A 23,929-nucleotide genomic window follows, 5' to 3' on the forward strand; every position below is an offset into this window, starting at 1 on the left:
TCTGAAGCCTACTTCTGTCAATTTATCAAACTCATTCTCCATCCAGTTTTGTTCCCTTGCTGGTGAGGAATTGTGGAGGAGAATTTGAAGAGGCGTTCTGGTTTTTGGAATGTTCAGCCTTTTTGTGTTGGTTTTTCCTCATCTTTGTGGATTTATCTACCTACAGTCTTTGATGTTGGTGACCTTCGGATGGGGTTTATGTGTGGACGTCCTTTTTGTTGATGTTGATGCTATTCCTTTCTGTTTGTTATCTCTCCTTCTAACAGGCCCCTCTGCTGCAGGTCTGCTGGCGTTTGCTGGAGGTCCACTCCAGACCCTGTTTGCCTGGGTATCACCAGCAGAGACTGCAGAACAGCAAAGATTGCTGCCTGTTCCTTCCTCTGGAAGCTTTGTCCCAGAGGGGCACCCGCCAGATGCCAACCAGAGCTGTCCTGTATGAGGTGTCTGTCGACCCCTGCTTGGAGGTGTCTCCCAGTCAGGAGGCACGGGAGTCAGGGACCCACTTGAGGAGGCCTTCTGTCCTAGCAGAGCTCGAGCGCTGTGCTGGGAGATCTGCTGCACTCTTCAGAGCTGGCAGGCAGGAAAGTTTAAGCCTGCTGAAGCTGTGCCCACAGCTGCCCCTTCCCCCAGGTGCTCTGTCCCAGGAAGATGGGAATTTTATCTATAAGCCCCTGACTGGGGCTGCTGCCTTTCTTTCTGAGATGCCCTGTCCAGAGAGTGACTTAATACTACTGAACTGTAGATGGTAGATTTTTATGTTATTTTTTTTTTTTTCTCCACACACACAAAAGAATAGAAGCTGTTCTGGAGTGAATGTTTGTGTCCCCTCCACTTCATATGCTGAAGCCCTAACACCCAGTGTTATGGTATTGGGAGGTGGGGCCTTTGGGAGGTGATTTGGTTTAATGAAATTATAAGGATGGGACTCTCTGAGTGTCCCTCACATACATGAGCAAAAAATAACCTTTCATTCTGTTAAGTCACTGTTTGCTATAGCAGTTAGCCTACTCTGGCTCATATGTAGCATAATCTCTCCAGCAAGCTCCAGTTCCTTTGGCTACGGCAAAACCTATCCCAACAATGTTTGAGTGGTCTTCTCATCAAAGGAATCAGGCCAGAGAACAGCCCACGCAGCAACAGTGACATATTACTTTGTAGACTGTCTGACATTTCTATATTGACAGGCCTTGATTTTTAAAAATTGTTTAGCATTTTTTTTAAAAAACCCAATAAAACTGCAAAATAAAACTATACTAATGGTATTCTCACAATCCATTATATATATTTGGTAACCTTAAAATGCTAGGTACATATATTCTCTCCTCCCCCCCCCCTTTTTTTTTTTTTGAGACAGGGTCTTGCTCTGTCACCCAGGCTGGAGTACAGTGGTGCAATCACAGCCCACTGCAGCTTCCACCTCCTGGGCTCAAGCAAACCTCCCATCTCAGCCTCCTGTGTAGCTGAGACTACAGGCATGAGCTACCATGCCTGGATAATTGTACTTTCTGTAGAGTCAGTGTTTTGCTATGTTGCCCAGGCTGGTCTTGAACTCCTAGGCTTAAGCAATCCTCCCCATCCCTGCCCCTGCCTTGGCCTCCCAAAACGCTGGGATTACAGGAGTGAGCCACTGCGCTTGGCTCCTCCTCAACTTTTTAACAAGGTTGATAAAGTTGACAAAATACTTTTCACATCTACACTGGTATAATGAACAGTAATGGGATTTACAAGCAAGGGGAATAGGAAAGAGGAAAAGGTAAAAGTATTGACCATATAAATAATCTAGAAAGAACAGTAAACTCTCAAAGTACATGGTTTGAACTTATATTTTTCACATCCTGGTGGCACACTTGGATACCTCCAAGGATCACTTCATCTGTTTCACAGCCCATGCAGCCCCCTAGGGGTCAGGGACCACCCAGTAGGGTTGGCTGGACAGAAGGACTTTCCCTCTTCTCCCTGCCTCTCTCTCCTCTGGCCCCCCCTTAACCAGAGACTAGACTGTGAAGACTACCACCACAGATACAGCTTCATAAGATCCTGGAAAGCAGAGGCAAACAGGGTGCTTGGGTACTGAGCAAGCACCCTGTACAATAGCAGTGGTTCCTAAGCCAGGCAGATCAACAAGACCCAAAGTAGGTTTTGACAATGCAGATTCCCAGGTCCCACTTTACAGATTCTAATTAAGTAGGCTTGCACCAGAAAACTGATGACTAGTCAAGTTAGATCTGTGCCCTGGCCCTTCTAGGGCTGTTAGAATCACAGTATACAATAAACGTTTACTTGCCTGTCTTGTTACACGGTTGTGAATGTCTTGAGAACAAAGGCCTTATCTTTTCGTCTTTAAGGTGCCAGCAGCTAGCAGAAAGCATGACATTGTTTAGTGCTCAAAAAGATACGTCTACTGAGCAAAACAAGAGCTATCTTGCCTTTTTTTTTTTTTTTTTGACACGGAGTCTCGCTCTGTCGCCTAGGCTGGAGGGCAGTGGCGTGATCCCAGCTCACTGCAGCCTCCGCCTCCCGGGTTCAAGCGATTCTCCTGCCTCAGCCTCCAGAGTAGCTGGGACTACAGGCACATGCCACCACGCCCAGGTACTTTTTGTATTTTTAGTAGAGATGGGGTTTCGCCATATTGGCTAGGCTGGTCTCAAACTCCTGACCTTGTGATCCACCCGCCTCTGCCTCACAAAGTGCTGGCATTACAGGCGTGAGACACCGTGCCCGGCCTATCTTGCCATTTTTAATTTTCAGGTTGTACTTCCTATCTAGGCATGTGAGTATAATTCAGTAGACATTACATATATCATAGAAATGTTAAGTTTTCTCCTAAAATGTGTCTTCAACAAATATTGAGGATGTCCTTGATTATTTAAAAATCTAGTGATACCCTGCTTTTGATGAGATGCTATCCTGCTTAAGTTTGAAAAGAACCTTGAAAATAATGAAACATTATCTTTCCCAAATTATGATTTATTTAGCATCCTACAGCCTTAAAGCTCATCATCATATCAAGTTATTCAAATGACTACACACTGTCATGTGGCACTGTGCTGCCATTCACTAGGCACAGGCACTGATTTGCACAGTTTAAAAAAAGCAGATTTTAATACTGACACCCTTTCTGCCCCCAGAGGCAGAGAGTTTCACTCTGTCGCCCAGGCTGGAGTGCAGTGGTCCAATCATAGCTCACTGCAGCCTCAACCTCCTAGGCTCAAGTGATCCTCCAGCCTCAGACTCCTGAGTATCTGGGACCACAGGCATGCATCACCACGCTTTGCTATTTTTAAAATTTTTTGAAGAAAAGGGGTCTCATTATGTTGCCCAGGTTGGTCTTGAACTACGAGCCTCAAGTGATCCTCTGCCTCAGCCTCCCAAAGTGCTGGGATTACAAGTGTGAGCCACCACTCCCGAGCCCCCTTTTTTAAAAAAAACTCACGTTGCATCATTTGCTTCCTGGTTTCATCTTACTTCTATTTCATTAAGCAGCCAGGACAAAATTTAAGTAATTAAATTCCCAAACTTTAAAAATGTTTCCAGATTTAAGTAACATAAAGAACAACAAAATTATTGGTCTTCACAAGCATGTATTGATTCAAGAAGACCTATATTTTGGTTACTGACATAAGTCACATTTAGTAGGCTCTAGGCATCCTAAGTGTTTTACCATTTTTTCTATTTTGACTATAACAAGCTTTTGCAGTGCAGAAATCATATTGGCCTCTCCCAGTTGCTTAAGCATCTGAATAGTAGGGATTATGATATGCCCTTGTAGGTAAGGTATGTGCCACCCACAGGAAAACACTGCATAAAGTTTGACCTCAACTTAAAAGAGCAATTTGTGAAATCACAGTTAAATGAGACACTTAAGTGTGCTTATTTTCAAAAAAAGAACTAACTCTCTGCAGTGCATATAAGTGACACATTAAAAAAAAAAAATCTCTGGCTGGGTGCAGTGGCTCACACCTGTAATCCCAGCACTTTGGGAGGCTGAGACAGGCAGATCATCTGAGGTCGGGAGTTCGAGACCAGCCTCACCAACATGGCGAAACCCTGTCTCTACTAAAAATACAAAATTAGCCGGGTGTGGTGACGCATGCCTGTAATCCCAGCTACTCAGAAGGCTGAGACAGGAGACTTGCTTGAACCCGGGAGGTGGAGGTTGCAGTGAGCCAAGATTGCGCCACTGCACTCAACAAGAGTGAAATTCTGTCTCAAAAAAACAAAACAAAACAAAACATATATATATATATGTGTATATATATATGTATGTATATATATATGTGTATATATATATATATGTATGTATATATATATGTATATATATATATATATATATGAGAAATTTCATGTAGCCTTGGAGACCAGTCAGATATTCTGATCCGGCGGTTTGCATTAAAGGGAAATGATAATTCAAATCAAAACTGCTTCACAAATCAGCCAAACTTTAGTCACTTGAGACAGGAGAAAGAGAAAAAGAGAAAGAAAGCAAAAGCAGACATATTCAAGAGTTTCTGAAAATGATGTGGCAAGGTACCAAATGTCTCAAAGGAAAACCTGAAGTGGTTAGAAAGGCAGGGCCCCAGAATATCTAGATGATGATGACTCAGTGAAGGATTCCTATTGTAGGTGGAGAAGTAGATAAGGTTTTTCTTAATAGATTCAGAGTATTTTATTTTGGTAGAATTCATAATTAAAGTGTTCCCTTTGCACACTTAACCCTCTTATCTGCTATTAATTAACTTCACGGCATGCTATAAGTCTCTAGAGACATTTTCTCAAGAGTTTTGCATTTGGCAGTTAACTGTACACTTTGCATCAGGAAGATTAACTGGCCTCTAATTAGGGGTAATGAACTTAAGATTCTGAAAACTGGTAGCCAAAAAAGTTGGATGAACTACTGTGGAGGCTCATCCAACTTGTTCTTAAATTGTAGAGTGAGACAGAGTGAGTGTTATGAAAAATGAACACATGAGTTAACGTGGAACTTTTAGAGTGTTTTCACTGGTTCCCACCACCAAACAGATGATAGATATACAATTGTAACTAGGGGTACATACAAACAACCCCAAAAAAGCCAACATGTACTATTCTTGTACCTTTCTGTAAGTGATATTATGTCAAAAGCAAAGTTAAAAAATACAAAAAAAAAAAATTAAAAGGACAACTTAAATGGAAGAAAACAGATCACGTAATTGGTGACAGCTATGATCTTGGCAGAAACTGTAAAAACTATTACAGAGCCTGAACTAGAGTCTTCATCTCAATAGGTACAGAAGACTAAGTACTGTCTTTAAACCCTCGCCATCCTTTTTGCCTGTCTCTTTGAAACCCGCTGAACTCAAGACTTTTCTCATGAAGAGTTACCTCCTATACACACTGATTGTCCAGACTGTTCTGTCTGTCTAAACAATTGTTTCCCAGCGCTGACAAACAGACTCTTGTTTTATCACCTGTTCTTTAGTATATTTCTTAAGTGATTCTTTGTCTTCATTACAGTTCTGGACAGGCCAAACACTGGAAAGTACCCCAAGCACATAACCCCACAATTCCTTCTGTGTAAACAGCCATACAGGAACAGCTGCCCACAGCAGTGATTGGCACCTGACCCAAGAGCAGCCAATCAATGAACTAGCCAGGAGTCTAGAGTTGGTCTTGCATAAATCTTTAAATATGGATGACTGTATTTAACTGGGTCTCTCTAGAGGGCATTTGAAACGGAGACAGGAAGGAGAACTCATCTACTAAGAACAGCTGAATAAGCCTAAAAGACCCACAAACACACACAAAAAAATCAGCAACAGAAAGTACCTGAGTCATAATAACGAAGAGAATAGGTTTGAAGATGAATAAACTTCTGATGCTGTGGTGGCGATGAGATAATACAGCTGCTAATATATATACATCTACTTTAAATAAACTCCCTTTCCCCCAAATTATGTTACAGTAGAACAGTAGTTACGGAGAGTTCAGTAATGTGCTCAGCTAGCAAGTTGTGAAGCTGGAACCGCCATATAGCCCAGACTAGCTCTGGACTCTCTGCCCTCAATTATTACAGTAATTCTGTCTATGCCCAGTGTATTTTTGCAGTCACTAAAAAAGCGGGGAGCTCTTTTAAAAAAATTTTTTTGTTGGTTGTTTTTTACTTTATTTTTTCAATTCCACTGGAGAAGAGGGAGAGCTCTTGATGTTTCCTGAACTTTTTCCATATCTAGCACAGGATGTTCAATGTTTTGTAATAAAATATAAAACCATATTTTATGTACATAGTCTACAATAAACCATCCTACAGCTGAATTTGTAGGCCAGCTCATGATCTGCAGCCTGTCATAGGTGGCAAAGGTTAACCCTAAAGGTTATCTATTTACTCACTGGATAACTGAATTTTTTATAGAAATTTTTTCTAGTCTAAACCTGAAGGCCTCTATAACCCTAGAGGCAACCTACCTGATCTTTAGGCAGCGCTAACCATTAATAAGTCTTCCTTGTACTAATTTTAAATATGCTTCCCTGAACCTTCCAGCCATTGATTCTAAAGGATATGAACAAATCTCATTCCATTTCTATATTTGAGCTCTTCAAAATAATTGTAGACAACCACTTCTCCAATTACTTTTCCTATATGTGGTTCAGAAATGAGTAATATACTAAAAATATATAAAATATACAGTAAAAGTCAACATTTAAGAGTTAAATAATATAAGAAAGAATAACTTTAAAAAATGAAATGTTGATTTCTAGGTTCCCATATGATAATGGCAGCTACTTATAGCCATACTTCAACATATCCTCCAAAGACCTTACGGATAAACAAAGCAAGCAAATAAACCCATAAAACAAAACTCATCAAACTAAAAACTAACAAAGAAAGTGGAAGAATACTACAAACTTCAGTTTATATATAAATAGAGAAATAAACACCAGAAACCAGCAAAGCTAACTCTAGAGCCCTTACTGGAGTGGAAAGATCAGTGGAGACTAAGTGAAAGGAGGAGAAAGTAATGGGGGCCTCATGCTGGAGAACACAGATAAAATGCCAGGAGGAGGAGAGAATCCCATGTAGAGTGGGGAAATATTGAGAACAGGTTTCAGACCTTGTGAATCAAAGTCATTGACTACTGGAGAATAGACAGAGGGGCCTGAAAGTTCCGGGGACCAGAGCTGGCAGTCATGGGAAGGATCCCGGAGTAGATAGAGGAGACCGGCAAGGGGCAAGAGTCGCCTGGAGTCTTGGTGATCAGGTGAAGAAGGAGGCAAGCAGTGGATATTAAACATCCTATAGAAACAAATAAGAACCACAAAACAGACAAATCAACCATCCCCTTATGGAAAACACTATTAAGTAAAATGCACTTAACTGAGATTCCTCTGAACTAAAAATTAGTATACCATCCAACCTCACCATCACCTTAATAGAATACCTACTAATAATGATTCAGAAAAACATAAGACATTTTAAAATGAATGGAAATAACATGCAGCTCCATAAAACTACTACAAGAATAAAAATACTTCCGTTGATAAAACCCTCATCTCCCTACCCTGCCCCAAAAAAACCCCACAAAGCAAAGGAAATCTGTAACACAGTGCCCTGACTTGAATATCCTTAAGCAAACATTTGCAAATAGGAAAAACCATTCCAAATCAGAAATTCAAAAATTCACAATATAAAAGCACCAAAAAGCAGAAGATGTATATCCAGAGATGATAAAACTGAAGAAAGAAATGGATGTAAAGGGAGGAAGAGGAAATACTCTCAGAAATGAACATCTAATTAAGGCAGAAACAGAGAATCGAACACTGCATGTTCTCACTTTTAAGTGGGAGCTAAACAACGGGTAGACATGTTCATAAAGATGGAAACAACAAACACTGAGGACTCCAAAACTGGGGAGCAAAGGACATGGACAAGGGTTGAAAAACTACCTCCTGGGGACTGTGTTCACTATTTGGGCGATGGGCCCTACCATTATGTAATATACCCATGTAACAAACATGCTCATGTGCCCCATGAATCTTCAAAAAAAAAAAAAAAAAAGAAATTAACATTTGAATCTAAGGTGTCTAAGAAAGGACCGACAGGACTGAAAATATAATAAAGGGTGCTAAGGAGAGGAATAAAAATAGCCAAGAGAATAAAACAAAATACAGATGAGCTAAGAAGTTTAAGAAAAAAAAATGGTTGCTGCAGAGCCTAGGAAAAATTCTAACAAATAAATAATTACAGCTTCTGAAAAATAAAAACAAAACAAAGAACTGAACTAGAGTGTCAAACAATCATTCAATAAAAATTTCCAGGGATAAAAGAATACATGTCAAAAGCTCACTGATATCTAGAAAAACTGACCAGGAATAATCAACTGAGACATAGTCTAGTAAAAATATTATACTTTAAAGATAAAGGAAAAAACCCTCTGGGACTTCAGGCAAAAAAACTAAATCACCTTTAGAGCAAGTGATATCAGAATGGCATCAGATTTGTCAATAGCAACATAGAAAGCAAGACTTTAGGAAAGAAAGTATAAGCCAAGGTCTTTATATCCAGCCAAGCTATCTTTCATTTTTCAAGTGTCAATGCTATGAAAAATGATTTGAAACATGGAAAAATTCAAGACAATAATCAGGAGCCCCTCCTAAGGCATCTGCTAGAGGATGGGCTTCATTCAACCAAGAGATGATGATGATGCCCTGGCCCTCCCAAAAAGACCAATGGTGAAGCACTTCATTTTAGATAGACCAAAGCAAAAGAAAGCATAAAAGTGGAAGAATAGTAAGTAAATGCTATTTGTTCTGACAAAGTACAAATAATACAACTATTTATTTAAGTGAAGAGAAGAAGGGAGAAAGGGGAAAGTAAAATAGGCTCACTGATTACTACATGGCTAACAGACTGGAGTCATATGATATTATTTAAAGTTCCCAAGTGAGGAGAAATGAGGCTGTAGGCATTATAAAAGGTATTATAAAACGTAAGCCCTAGAATAGGGGTTGTCAAACTACAGTCCAAATGCAGCCCACAATCTGTTACAATAAATAAAAATTTATTGGAACACAGCCACTCCCATCTGTTTACATATTATGGCTTCTCTTGTTTACATCACAGACATATTGATACAGTTATACCGTCTACATCAGCAGAGATGAGTAGTTCCAACAGTTTGGCCCACAAAGTCTAAAATACTTGCTATCCTAATCTCCACAGAAAAAGTTTGCCAACCCCTAACCTATAATAAAAATGCAGCCAGGCGCAGTGGCTCACTCCTGTAATCCTAGCACTTTGGGAGGCTGAGGCAGGCAGATTGCCTGAGCTCAGGAGTTTGAGACCAGACTGTGCAACATGGTGAAACCCCATCTCTACTAAAACACAAAAAAGTAGCCAGGCATGGTAGCGTGTGTCTGTAGTCCCAGCTTCAGGAGGCTGAGACAGGAGAACTGCTTGAACCTGGGAGGAGCAGGTTGCAGTGAGCTGAGATTGTGCCACTGCACTCCAGCCTGGGTGACAGAGCAAGACTTTGTTTCCAAAAAAAAAAGCAAACCTTCCTAAATGCACAGAAAAATAAACACAGTAAGTTTTAAAAAAATAAAACCGTTGACACCAAGCATATTGATTATACCAATAAATGTAAGTGTGCTTACCTAACACATTAAAAGATTTTTCGATTGTTCATAAAGCTAAGCCCAATTCTACGCTGCATACAAAAGAACAGATTGAAATCAAAAGGCTAAACATAAAGAAATGAGCAAAGATATATTAGACAAATATAAATATTATGAAATCCAGAGTTGTGATCCTGATATAGGCAAGGTAAAATTCAGGCCACAAAGCATTTAAGACAAGGAAGTACAAATGTTAAAGGCCACAACAACTACCTTCATAAAGCAGAAATTACAAGAGATGCAAAGAGAAACAAACAAAAACCCAGTAATAAGAGACTTTAACACACCACTCTTGGTCTAAAATGCATCAAACAAACAAAAGGTAAGTAAGGATATAGAAGACCTAAATAACATCATTTATAAGGTACAGTTTGTGTGTGTGTGTGTGTGTGTGTATAATATATATACATTATATTCTCATTATACAGAATATAATTCCTGAAGCATAAAAGGGCCAGTATTAAATTGACCTTATATTAGGCTGCAAAGATAAAAACCTCATGAAGTTCCTTAAAGAAACAACACAAACAACATTCTCTGACCACAATGGGATAAAACTAGAAATTATTCACATCAAAAAGTGGTCCTTCTACTTAGAGACTAAAAACTCTCTAAGCAACTCTTGGGAGAAAGGGGATACAAAACAAAACTGCAGAATTTCTAAAACACGATGATAATAAGAATACTACATATAATCGTCTATGGGATACCACTGAAGCAGTGCCAAGGAGTATATGCAGTTTGCTATCTTTTGGATAAGAAAGAGGGGAGATGCATAAACAGGCACACATACCTATCCCCATGGGTTTTGCTTATTTTTCCAAAAAAAAGAAACATAGGAAGGACAAATCAGAAACCAATGAATATCTATCAGGGATGGAAGAAAACAGAATGGAAAGGGTAGGGATACGAATGTGATTTCTTTTGCATGTCTTTTTATATAGGTTTGACTTTGTTAAAACAAGCTATATTTTGCAAATTTGGAAAATACAATTAAATAAAAAAGGTAAAAACAGCAAATGTTATAAGTGAATGAAAACAGAAGTTTCAAAGACAACTTCTTAACTGTATATCGAATAAATAATATAACTACACAAAGAAAAGCATTCAAACTACTTTTGAACATGCACTTTAACAACATATAACCTCAGTGGTATATCTAAGCACAATAAAGGACTGCAAAGAGAGCTTGAATATTAGTTTTTTGTGATTATTGGTAATGGTGTTGATATAATATTTCTGAAACTATTTTGGAGATGTAAATGCATTCAGAAATACAGAGAATCCTATAAACACCTTTATATACATATGAAATAAAATAATTTTGAAGAGTCATAAGTATCTTCTGACCCAGGCCTAAGTTGACATACATGAACTCTATTTGAGAATATCCCTGTAAGAAGGGTGTTATTTTTGTATCAGAGACGACAGTTATCACCCACAATATTAAAAAAGTAGTAACAGTGGCTGGAATTTATTCTAGGTCTCTCCGACCCCAAAGCTCTTTAACTGAATTATTTTTAACAAAATTATCAACAATTTAATTTTGCTTTGCTTTAAATGAAGGGATATTCACTGTTGTTATTGTTGGTATTTGTTGTCCTGAGTGGCAACGGTGGCAGTTTAAAGTAGTGTTTGATCTATTGGAAGCATCTGCTCCGCCTGGGGGTTCTTGTTTCAGGCCACATTCTCTGTATGGAAAACACAGAACCGAATAATCCAAGACAGAAGAGACTCAAATCCAGGTTGTATGCTCTGTTTTTAAATAAAATTTTAATTCTTTTTAAAGAGATGTCACTTTGTTGCCCAGCCTGGAATGCAGTGGCGTGATCATAGCTCATTGCAGCCTTGACCTCCTGGGTTCAAGGGCCTCCTCAGCCTCTTGAGTAGCTGGGACTACAGGCGCACACCACTGTACTTGGCTGTTTTTTTGTTTTTTGTATCGAGATGGGGGTCTTGCCATCTTGCTCAGTCTGGTCTTGAACTCCTGGGCTCAAGGGATCCTCCTCTCTCAGTCTCTCAAAGTGCTGGGATTACAGGCATGAGCCACTGTACCCAGCCTAAATTATTGAACCATGTGAGAAATGTGAAGTCTGGTTGAAATTTTCAGGCCAGCATGTATTAGAAACATTTCATTTCAAATCAAAAGCAGCTACTAGTAGATGCCAGTGAGCACATGGTGGTCCTGTCATCCCTGGGAATAGGCTACAAATGAACTGTTCAGTAAGATCAGAGGAGACCATAAGAACCCAAGCTCTGTTACTATAAGGTAATTAGAAAATGTCTTCACTAAATTGATCAAGAAAAAAGAAACCTTTTCAAGATGGAGAAATAAAAGGTACAAACCACTGAATAGAGTTATCATAATTACATGGTTATGTAATATTTAGGAACTAAATATCTTTTAAAATGCATGATAATAAAATTGTACAAATGTCTTTATGAACCCAGAAATTAGTTATGTGGGGTGAGGAACAAAATAGAATGCTAGTTTTACAATAATAACTAGAGGAGAACAAAGATCCTGTAATTCCTTTAATGCATTAAATAATTATAGTAATCTTTAAATGAAATCTATGTGTTAAAATGCTCAGAAAAGTAAAAATTCTTACGTAAATGTAAAGAAATTGCAAGGCTAAAATACTGGTTGTGATCCATGTCATAGTTCAAGGAGGTATTAAATTCTAGATAGTGGCTAAGACAAAACAGAAACAAGGAAAGAACCTTATCTTGAAACTATAATAATACACATTTTTGCACAGTAATACCACAATAACAATGCCTACCACAGTGCGGTGGTCTAAAAAAGCAGCTCTTGAGAAATCTACATTAAGTCAAAATACTCAAAGTACTTCTCAGGCAAAACTCCTTTCAATATACAGTTATAGGTTGCTTAACAAGAGGCTATGTTCTGAGCAATGCATCATAAGGCGATCTGTTCTGTTGCAAGCATCATAGAGTGTACTTAGACAAACCTGGAGAGTACAGCCTACTATACACCTAGGCTATATGGTATAGCCTATTGCTCCGAGGCTACAAGCCTACACAGCACGTTACTGTACTGAATACCATAGGCAACTGTAACACAAAGGCATGTATTTGTGCATCTAAACATATCTAAACACAGCAAAAATAAGGTATTCTAATCTTATGAGACCACCATCATATATGTGGTCCATCACTGGCAAAAATGTTATGTGGCGTATAACTATATATTACATGTTTGACAGATGGTTTAAAGGAGAAATAATGAAAACTTGACTATAAATATGAGTAGCAAAATAATTAAAGTTCAAATCTCTCACCTTCTAGCTTTACAGCTTTATGTCTTCTCCTTTCCAACAGACAAAAAAAAAAAATCCAATCTAAAGATTTATCCTTCAAATTATTTCCTTTGGAAGATGTCACTCCAATTAAAAAAGGATTTTACTGATCATAAATGGTATCGCCTCCCCAGGCACTATTATTACTTTACATAACCTTCCAAATGTAGGTATACTGTCCTGACCCCAAGCTTCAGCTGTGAACTTGCCACTCATACACTGTTACCAAGCAGGGAAGAGATGAGTATGGGAAGAGTAAGTGTTTGGAAACTTCAATAGCAACTGGGCAGAGTGAATTCATGTCTGTTGAATCTACAAATAAAATATATGCATTTTTATATTTTTAAAATTAACGGTTATGTGGCATAATTTACATATAGTAAAAGTCATCTTTTAAAAAAATGCCCTTCTATAGTCATTCTCTTCCTCTAACCCCCTAGCAGAAATTTCTGATTTTTCTCCTTACAGTTTAGCCTTTTGTAGCATTTCATATAAATGGAATAACAAACTATATAGCCTTTTGTACCTGTCATCTTTCACTTCACATAAGGGTTTTAAGATTCATCCACGTTGTTGATTCATGTGTGTATCAGCAGTTTGTTCCTTTATATTGCTAGTAGTATTCCATGGTATGGGTCCATCAAGATTTACCTATCCATTTATCAGTCGATAAACTTCTGGGTTGTTTATATAATTTTGGGTGAATATGAACAAAGCTGCTATAAACCATTTGGGTATAGGTCTTTGTAGGTGGGAAAACATATGGATAGTCAAGTGTTCTAGCACAATTAAAAAAAAACTATCCTTTCTCTGTTGAATTATTTGACATCGTTCTTGAATATCAATTGACATTATCTGTGGGTCTATTTCTGGACCTTTATTCTCTTCCATTGAAGAGTCTATCCAATGTCACAATGTTTTGATAATTACAGCTTTATAGCAAATCTTAAAACAACGTAAGTCCTCCAAATTTGTTCTGTTTCAAAGTCACTTTGGCTATTCTGTGCTTTTCTATATAAACTTTAAAACCAGCCTGCCGATTTCTACAAAAAAGCTTGTTGGGATTTTTTTTTTTGTTAATTTCAATAGGTTTTTGGGGAACAGGTGGTGTTTGGGATTTTGATTAGAATTGCACTGGGCTGGGCATGGTGGCTCATGCCTGTAATCAGTGCTCTGAAAGGCCGAGGCAAGTGGAACATTTGAGCCCAAGAATTTGAGACCAGCCTGGGCAACATAGCAAGACCCCACCTCTACAGAAAATAAAATTTAAAAAATAGCCAGGCATAGTGGTGCGTCCCCGTAAGTCCCAGCTACTCAGGGGTGGGTGAATGGCTTGAGCCCAGGAGTTCAAGGCTGCAGTGAGCTATGATCGGGCCTCTGTACTCTAACTTGGGCAACAAAGTGAGACTCTGTCTCAAAAACAAATTTTTTTTTAAATGCAGTGATTCTACAGATCGCTTTGGGGAGAACTTGCATCTTAACAATATTAAGTCTGATAGATGAAACTAGGTATCTATCTCTCCATTTAAGTCCTTTTTAATTTTCTTAATGTTTTGCAGTTTTTAATGTATAAATGTAGAATAGATTTTGCTAAATTTATCCTGAAATACTTCCTATTTGGAGATGCTATTATAAATGTATATTTTATTTCAATTTCCAGTTGTTCACTGCTAGCAAACAGAAATTAATATTTATACATTGACCTTTTAAGATTCACTTATAAGTTCTAGTAGCTTTTCTTAAATTCTTTTTGTTTTTCTATGTAGACAATCATGCCACATAGAATACAAGCAGTTTTGACTTCTTCCTTTCTATTCTGAATGTCTTTTATTTCTTTTTCTTACTAAACTGACCATACTTCTAGTACAATATTGACCAGAAATGAGAAGAGCTGACATCCTTAATTTGCTCCTAATCTTAAGTGGAAAACACTGTCTTTCACCATGAAGTATGAGACGCAGGTGTTTTTTGTTGTTGTTGTTGTTTTTAGACAGAGGTCACTCTGTCGCCCAGGCTGGAGCACAGTGGAGTACGATCTTGGCTTACTGCAACCTCCTCCTCCCAGGTTCAAGCGATTCTCCTGCCTCAGCCTCCCGAGTTGCTGGGATTACAGGCATGTGCCACTATGCCCAACTAATTTTTGTATTTTTAGTAGAGAGGGGGTTTCACCATGTTGGCCAGGCTGGTCTCCAATCCCCGACCTCAGGTGATCCACCTGCCTTGGCCTCCCAGAGTGCTGGGATTACAGGCGTGAGCCATTGTGCCCAGCCTCATGTAGGTTTTCATAGATAGCATTTAAACAGGGAAAGAAACTTCTAGTTTGCTGAGAACTTTTATTATGAATGAGTATTTAATTTCATCAAATACATTTTCTGCATCTATTGGGATATGCTTTTTGTTTTTTAGTCTAATACATTGATTGATTTTCAAATGTTACACCAACCTTTCATTTCTGGGATAAGACCCACTTGGTTATAATGTATAACCCTTTTTATATAGTATTGGATTTAATTTACTGAAATATTTGTATGTCATTGCTTTTTCATTTCACATTTTTAATAATTATTTTTTCTTGTATTTTATAACAATATTTCTCAGTGATGGAGTAAAAAATAAGTCAAAACCAGTCCTTTACCACATAGAGTGGAAAAAGCATTTTTCCAGTGCACAAAGTAGCTGTGGTTATGACAAACTGCCTGGCCTTTTGGTGCAATAACTGAACAGAATCAGCTACAGAATGCTGATTTTGGAACTTACAACATACTTACAGATAGCACAAAAAGCTCATTAAATGGAGATATAATGAGAAAAGAAACCAGCCTCTGAAGACACTTAATAAACTATACTTCTGATTTCCTCAATCAAAGAGTTTAGAAGCAATAATTAAAGTATATTTTCTTATAACACTTCTATTGTGGACTTATCGCTTTGCTGTCATTTTTATCTATCTTTTCTAATAAAACCGTGAATACCTGAAGGACAATGTTCTATTCATCTTTGTACTTCTTAGCATCTAGCACAATGCCTGAAACATAGCAGGTCTTTAATGAGTATATATATTTAGTGAACGAACAAATGAATAGGTCTAATAGTTCTTTCTTGTATCTTTTCTGGTGGGCTATATCCTACTCTCCCCCCCTCCCTCTACCTCACTCCTCCATTAATTTTTTGCTGGAGTATACAAATAGATCTCATAGAATCTCTATATACCAGTGTCTGCCTGGCTCCCAAGTACTCATAACTATTAGAAGACACTGCTGGCAGCCCTACCTGTCTGATCAGTTGGCTTCACATCCATAATAGCAGCATTAAGACGGAAACAGTTCTAGCCCTGTTACTGCTTGAATGACCTGGCAGCCTGTTTGGTGGCCAGCCTTTGTAGCCAGGTAAGTTTCCTATAACCATTTCAGTGCCTGTGTGAGATTTCTGTCTGAACCTGGCTTATTTTTTTCCTCCACTTTATGTGTAGCCAGGGACTCACACAGCTCAATCCTGAGCCTCTTTGAATCACAAAAGGCATTTCATCTTATGCTTACATTATTTACTATTTAGTATTCCATATGCTGTAATCAACCTTCCATGAGGATTTATAAGGAGAATGCTGGAAACTATGATTTCTTTTTTCTTTTTGAACTTTTCAAAATTCCTAACACAGAAATATGCCCAGAGTACACATACAATGTTTACTGAATGAAAAAGAGAATGAGTTGAATCCTGCATTGAAAGCTCTTCAAAAATCCCTTCCACTAGTTTAGTCAACCACATTTATACTTTACTTTTCCTTTTCTCTTTCCCAATAGCTCATTTTTATTTCCTCACACACTTCTGTGGTCTAATAAGGAAAAACTCTAATGTGTGTCTTGAAGGGTGGTAACTGATCATCCCAAAGAGGACCAAACATACCTTATAGCTCAACAAGGTTCACATTTTCCCCTAAGCATATATTAAATAATCTCATTATTCCCATAGATTTTAAAGAAACTCTTACCCAGCCTTAGCAACACTTATGGTTTGTTGCTCCATTGCTTCATGGATACTGGTCCTATCATGCTCTTTGAGGCTATTGAACTCATCAATACAGCAAAGGCCCGCATCTGCAAGAACTAATGCCCCAGCCTCCAAATTCCATTCTCCTGAGTCTTTTACAGCAGTTACCGTCAGACCTGAGGAAACAAGCAAGCCATATCAACTTTTATTTTCAAAAGCATTATCTTGACTGGGCGCAGTGGCTCACACCTGTAATTCCAGCAGTTTAGGAGGCTGAGGTGAGAAGATTTCTTGAACACAGGAGTTCGAGGCCTGCCTGGACAACATGGCAAAACCTTGTCTCTACAAATAATTTAAAAATTTGCTGGGCACAGTGGTGTGTGCACCTGTAATTTCAGCTACTCAGAAGGCTGAGGCGGGAGGATCGCTTGAGCCCAGGAGGTCAAGGCTGTAGTGAGCCATATTAGAGCCACTACACTCCAGCCTGGGTGACAGAGCAAGATCTTGTCTTAAAAAAACAAAAAAGGCATATCTTAACCTATGAAAGGAAAGAAATGCCTACATTTTAAAGAGAAGGGCATAAAGACTTTTATTTGCAGTTAACCAAGAATGGATGGCATCAGGACAATTGCTTCACATATCTAGTCACTGGAAGGCCTCATAAGCTCCTATGTTCTAAAAATGTAAGGTGTGTTCTCCAGTATTTTGTAGCAACCAGAAGTTCTCAAATTTTCTGTCTCTCCTTGTAGGTCCTCTGGTCGAGTGGTCTAAACTTTTGGAAGGGGCAAACAGATCTCCAGAGACCTTATGACAGAGGGTGTGTACTATACGCTGTTTACAGAAAAGGGTCCAGTGATAGAGAATAGTAATTATTACATTCCAATGATGAAAATGAAAAGTTTGCTTCCAGTTACAATATGAGGGAAGGGATTCTCTTCATATGTCTTGTTGATTTTTATTTGTCCTGTATACCAGTCAATAAAGCAGAATGGTCAGAAGAAAAGGCTTTGGAGTCAACAAGACTTGATTTGAATCCTAGAGCTGTCATTCTAGCTGTTGAATTATAGGCAAGTTTCCTAATATATACAAGCCTGACTTTATTAATCTGCAAAAGAGGATAACAATAGAAAGTATCTTAGAGATTCTTGGATATTTAAATAAAATATAACTAAAGCTCATTAAAAGGTATATGAAACATGAGTACGTTAAGAATAACTATTGTTGATAAAAATGGATAAACTTCTGTCCAGACTGACCAAAAAAAAAAAAAAAAAAAAAAAGAGGAGACACAAGTTACAAATATCAGGAATGAAAGAGGGGGCATAACTATAGATCCTATAATGAACTAATAATAAGGAAATACTATGAATAACTCTATGCCATACATTTGATAACTTAACAAAATAGTCAAATTTTTTTGAAATATGCAAAGTTTATCTAAAAAGGAACAGATAACTTCCATAATCCTTTATTTGTTTTGAAAATTAAATATTTAAAAACCTTCCAACACAGAAATCTGCAGGCTGAGATGGCTTCATAGTGAATTCTACCAAATATTTGAGAAATAATGTCAATGCAACACAAATTTTTCAATAATAGAGAAGAGTAAACACTTCCCAACTCATTTAATGAACTCAGAATTATCATACTAATTGTCATAACTGAATTGTCATACTAAACTAGGCAAAGACATATTATAAGAAACCTATAGACTAGTACCTCTAATATGGATGCGAAAATCCTCATAAATGCAAGTGAATCAAATCCAACAATACATAAAAGGATAACAGATTATAGCCAAGTGAGGATTATCCCAGGAATGCAAGGTGAAGTTAACATTCGAAAATTAATCAGTGTAATTCGCCATATCAATAAGCTAAGGAAGAAAGAGCATACAATTGCTTCAATAGATACAGAAAATACATTTCACAAAACTCAACAATCATTTGTGATAAAACTCTCAAAAAATTAGGAACGGAAGAGAACTTCTTCAACTTGATAAAGGGTATTTACAATAATCCTATATTTAACATACTTAGTGATAAAAGACTGAATGTTTCCTCATCTCCTACAAAGATCAGAAAAAAGCAAGATTTTTTTCTTATCACTGTTAATCAAAATCATGCTAGAGGTTCTAGCCACTGAAATAAGGCAAGGAAAAGAAATAATTAACATACAGACTGAAAAATAAATAAATAAAACTGTTTAAATTTGCAGACAATATGATTAGATAGAAAATCCCAAATAATCTACTAAAAACCAACTAGAACTAGTAAACGAGTGTGGCAAGGCTGGAGGACACAAGTCAACATATGGAATATCTGGGTATAAGTCTTATAAAATACATGCAAGAATCTCTATGCAAAACTACAAAACACTGACAGAGGAAATCATGACAACCAAATTGAGAGACGAAATAAACTCTATATTCAAGATGTCAATTCTTAAAAATTGGAAAACTCTATTTTCAAGATGTCAATTCTCCCCAAACTGTTCTGTAGTTAAATGCAATTACAAGCAAAATCCTAGCATGATTTTTTAAAAAATAAATAAAGTGACAAGGTGATTCTATGATTTATATAGAGAAGCAAAGGAGATAGAAGAGCCAAACCAAAAAACAAGCTTGGAGGTCTCACATGACATACTACAAAGCTACAGTAATCAAATCAGTGTGGTACTGGAAAAAGGTTAGGCAGATAGAACACTGGAACAGAACAGAATCCAAAAGTTGTCCCACACATAGAAGGTCAAGTGATTTTTTATAGAAAATAAAAAGGCAATTCAATGGAGAAAAGATAATCTGTTCAACAAATGGTGCTGGAGTAACTGAATATCTTCATGCAAGAAGAAAAAATGAATCTTGATCATACCTCACATGTAATATAAAAATTAATCCAAAATTAATTCAATACCTAAATGTAAAGTGTAAAACTATAAAGAAAGAAAGGAAACACAGGAGAAAATAGCTGTGAATTCTTTTGGTTTCCAGTCTAGCACACAAGGAGCTTACAAGTCACTACTTCAACCTAACAAGTAAAAAGCTAAACAAAAAAATCAGTAACTTCTTAGACCCATCAGAGAAATGAGATCAGAGGACAAATTACTGCCCCAAAACTGAAGATGGTCAGGCAGATACAGAGAACCACAACTTAGCTGAGCAGAAATTCATGAGCATAAACTTTTATGTAAGAAAAACAGGCAAGAAAATTTGAACTATTATTAGCAAATTGCTAATGGCTCACAGTGGAAAAATCAAGAAGGACCCCATCATAGGGAAACCCCTAGATTTTCTGCGAGTTTTACCACTGAGAGCTCTACCAGCAACTCACAGTGAAGATGAGAGTAAAATCTACTCTTGCTTCTGGCAGAGAGAGGGAAAAGGAACCATTTAGAAATACGCCAGAACTTCCTGTTCTTAACAATGCCTGTCCTCAAAAGGAACTATTTTACCAGAGCCTTATCTACCTGGAAGAAGGGCAATATCCACCTCCAACCCCTTCCAGTCATCTGGTACCACCCAAGGGGGTGAATATGCAAAAAACTGAGAAGCACGTGTGAAGTTCACAGCCCAGGGACACAAGCTCACTAAAAGGCTGAGACCTAATCACAGGACTATAGAATCCTTTCCCTTCCCCAACACCTTATCACTGCAATACTAAAGGCATATTAACCACAATTTTCCTTGTTCCTAGTACATCATGTCTACCTTTCAACAAAAAAATTGCAAGGCATACTAAAAGGCAGAAAATACAGTTTGAAGAGATAGAACAAGCATCAAAATCGGATCTAGATATGGCGGGGACATTGAAATAATCAAACTGAATTTAAAACAACTATGATTAATATGCTAAGAGATCTAATGGAAAGAGTAGACAATATGAAAGAACAGATGGATAAAGTTAACAAATAGAAATTCTGAGATACAATAAAAAAGAAATACTAGAGATCAAAAACACTCTAACAAAGATAAAGAATGCCTTTAATGGGTTTATTAGCAGGCTGGACACATCTGAAGAAAGAATCTCTGAACTTGAAAATACGTCAATTAAAACTTCCAAAACAAAAAAGAAGAGAATATCCAAGAACTGTGGGACAACTACAAAAGGTGTAACATACATGTGATGGGAATAAAAGAATAACAATAAAGAGAGAAAGGGACAGAGGCAATAGGTGAAGCAATATTGTGTAACATTTCATTGAAATACTGTCAGACAATAAATTAGAAATCCAGGGTGCTCAGAGAACACCAGCAAAATGAATGCCCAAGAAAACCCTACACTCAAGCACATTCCATTCAAACTTCAGAAAATCAAAGATTAAAAAAAAATCATAAAAGAAGCCAGAGGAAGAAAAACAGCTTACCTATAGAGCAGTGGTCCCCAGCCTTTCTGGCACCAGAGGCTGGTTTCGTGGAGAAAATTTTTCCACAGACCAGAGTGGGGATGGTTTAGGGATGATTCAAGTGCATTATATTTGTTGTGCACTTTATTTCTATTATCACATCATGTCACAGGATCCTTAGGATGTCGCTTTGCCAGCTGGAAACCTCTGTGGTTGGAGGTGCCGCTGCATGAGTTTTACTCACATCTGCTGGGCTTGTTCCACCCATTCAGCCCAGCAGGCTGCGCTTGGCTCACACTACTACCGGCCCAGATCTCATGTCTGCCAATGGCAAGCCAGGCATGGGACGGCCACAGGTGTGTCAGTGAATGAGTGTGGTGTCCAGCCACTGTGCACAGCCAGGCATGCCAGCTGTGGTGGAGCGGGCAGCTCCAGGTACCGGTTCCATGTGAGGCTGCAGCTGGACCAGACGTACCATAAGCAGCTTCTACTGCAGGCACCAGCATCTGAACAAAGGGAACACGATGGTGCCCAAAAACTCGGAGACACCAGGAACTGCAGAGCCCCAAAGAGGGTGTTAAAGCATGTCACAGCCCTGGCTCAGGGAGCCCCAATGTTTGGGCAGCTAAAAGGGCTGCAGCTCTTCACTCCTTCTCGTCACCCACAATGTGGTGAGTGAGGGACGTGTTTCAGCCCTGTTTGTGTTACAGCTCTTTCAGTCCCATCATTCAACAGGTCCTGCATTCTTGTCTCATCTCCAGGAAGCATGAGGTACTTGGACAACTGGAGGGTGAGCAAGGTGGAGAGGAGCTTCATGAGTTACAGAACAGCTCTCAGGAGACCCGAAGTGGGTAGCTGCTTTCCGCAGGCAGGTTGTACTGACAAGTGTCCAGCACTCAGCAGAGAGGAGACCTATAGTGGGTAGCTCCTTTCTGCAGGCAGGTTGACCTGATGAGTGTGTGCATCTGGCTGGGTCTGGGGTTTTTGTGGGCTCAGAAGGGAGGAAGTGCATGCTGACTGGTCCACGGGTGGACCTGGAAAAAGCACCATAAGTTCTCACTTCAGGTTGTGGACTCCATCCAGAACCGGCAGCCTAGCCCTCAGGCTTCAGGCTGTCCCTGGCTTGAAGGTGGGGCTTCACCAGTGACCCACCCCTTCCTGCCTAGGAATGAATCTGCCTGCTTCCTGCCACCATCAACATGCCATCCATGTTGCCCAGGCTGTTCAGGATGAGGGAGGCCTGTAGGCCCATGCTGAGCTACCTTCAGCCCCCCGACATCCTCCCTCCCTGAGCTTGTCAGCACCCACAGTTTCAGAAGGAGCCAAGGCAGTGGGGTGGCACCCCTGGCCAGGTCACAAGAGTGTTCAGGCTTGGCTTCAACTTTGCTCTGAAATTGGAGTGACAGTCAGGAGTGGGGAAAGGCCAGGGAGCAGGAAAAGGTACTTCCAAGCCTTCAGGGGAAGGGGGGCTTCCTGGGCCCCCAAGAGTGCAGGGATGCCTAGGTCCAGAGCCATGGCTGGGTGGCTGTAGCTTCACCTGGGTGTGTGGGGAGCCAACTTGGTAGCAGGCAGGGCTCTCACCTGTTCCTGGCCCCTGCCAGCTCCATGGAGCGTACAGCCCTGGCCACACCTCCCACACTGCAGCTGGCATCCCCTCAGCAGTTGCTCCAAATGGGCTGATGCCACCATCAATTGTAACATATAATGAAATAATTATACAACTCACCCTAATGTAGAATCAGTGGGAGCCCTGACCTTATTTTCCTGCACCTAGACAGTCCCATCTGGGGATGATGGGAGACAGTGACAGATCATCAGGCATTAGATTCTCATAAGGAGTGCACAACCTAGATCCCTCACATGCACAGTTCACCATAGGGTTCATGCTCCTATGAGAGTCTCATGCTGCCACTGATCTGACAGGAGGCAGAGCTCAGGTGGTAATGCGAGCAATGGGGAGCAGCTATAAATAGAGACATAGCTTCGATTACTTGCCTGCCGCTTACCTCCTACTGTGCAGCCCGGTTCCTAACAGGCCATGGTTGGGAACCCTGCTATACAGGACCAAACATAAGAAGTACATCTGACATCTCCTCAGAAACCATGCAAGCAAGAAGACAGTAAAGTGAAATATTTAAAGTGCTAAAAGAGAAAAATCCCAACACAGAATTTTGTACCCTGAAAAATTATCCTTTCAAAGTAAAAGAGAAATAAAGACTTTCTCAAAGATTGAAGAAATTTATTACTAGTAGACCTGCCTTGCAAGGAATGTTAAAAGAAGTTCTTCAGAGAAAAGGAAAATGACATAGGTCAGAAACTCAGATCTATACAGAGAAAAGTAGAGCATTAGACAAAAAAAACCTGAAAGATAAAAACTTTTATTTTCTTATTCTTAATTGATCTAATAGACAACAGTTTGTCTAAAATATTAATAGAAACAACGTATTTAATTGTATATGCATAGGTATATATACATGTTTAATTATGCTTATGTATAAGTGAAATGAATGAGATGAAAGATCTAAGGACAAGGAGAAATTAGGAATATTCTGTCATTACGAGGTACTTACACTACCTGTGAACAGGTATAGTGTTATTTTAAAATGGACTTAGAATAGTTGTAAATG

General features: G+C 38.9%; 1 protein-coding gene across 9 annotated transcripts in view, besides 1 other annotated feature; it reads right to left on the reverse strand.

The window, feature by feature from the left end:
- Positions 1–23,929, reverse strand: part of MCM9 (minichromosome maintenance 9 homologous recombination repair factor) — a 121,705-nt gene that overhangs the window by 25,954 nt on the left and 71,822 nt on the right. For 8 of the 9 annotated variants that reach the window (NM_001378366.1, NM_001378364.1, NM_001378360.1 and 5 more), the window contains one exon: positions 16,963–17,137. The exons of the other annotated variant lie outside the window; for it this stretch is intronic. In NM_001378366.1, coding sequence (NP_001365295.1) covers positions 16,963–17,137 — 175 coding nt within the window. The remainder of the gene's footprint in view (positions 1–16,962; positions 17,138–23,929) is intronic. 9 annotated transcript variants of the gene reach the window in all.
- Positions 5,810–5,939: an enhancer, noted in NCBI's record as "active region_25014". NCBI's record gives its function as "activates an Ori minimal core promoter by ATAC-STARR-seq in GM12878 lymphoblastoid cells {active_cell/tissue: GM12878}" and the evidence as "EXISTENCE:reporter gene assay evidence [ECO:0000049][PMID:35858748]".

Source organism: Homo sapiens, chromosome 6 (assembly GCF_000001405.40).
Source record: "Homo sapiens chromosome 6, GRCh38.p14 Primary Assembly".
NCBI lineage: Eukaryota > Metazoa > Chordata > Mammalia > Primates > Hominidae > Homo > Homo sapiens.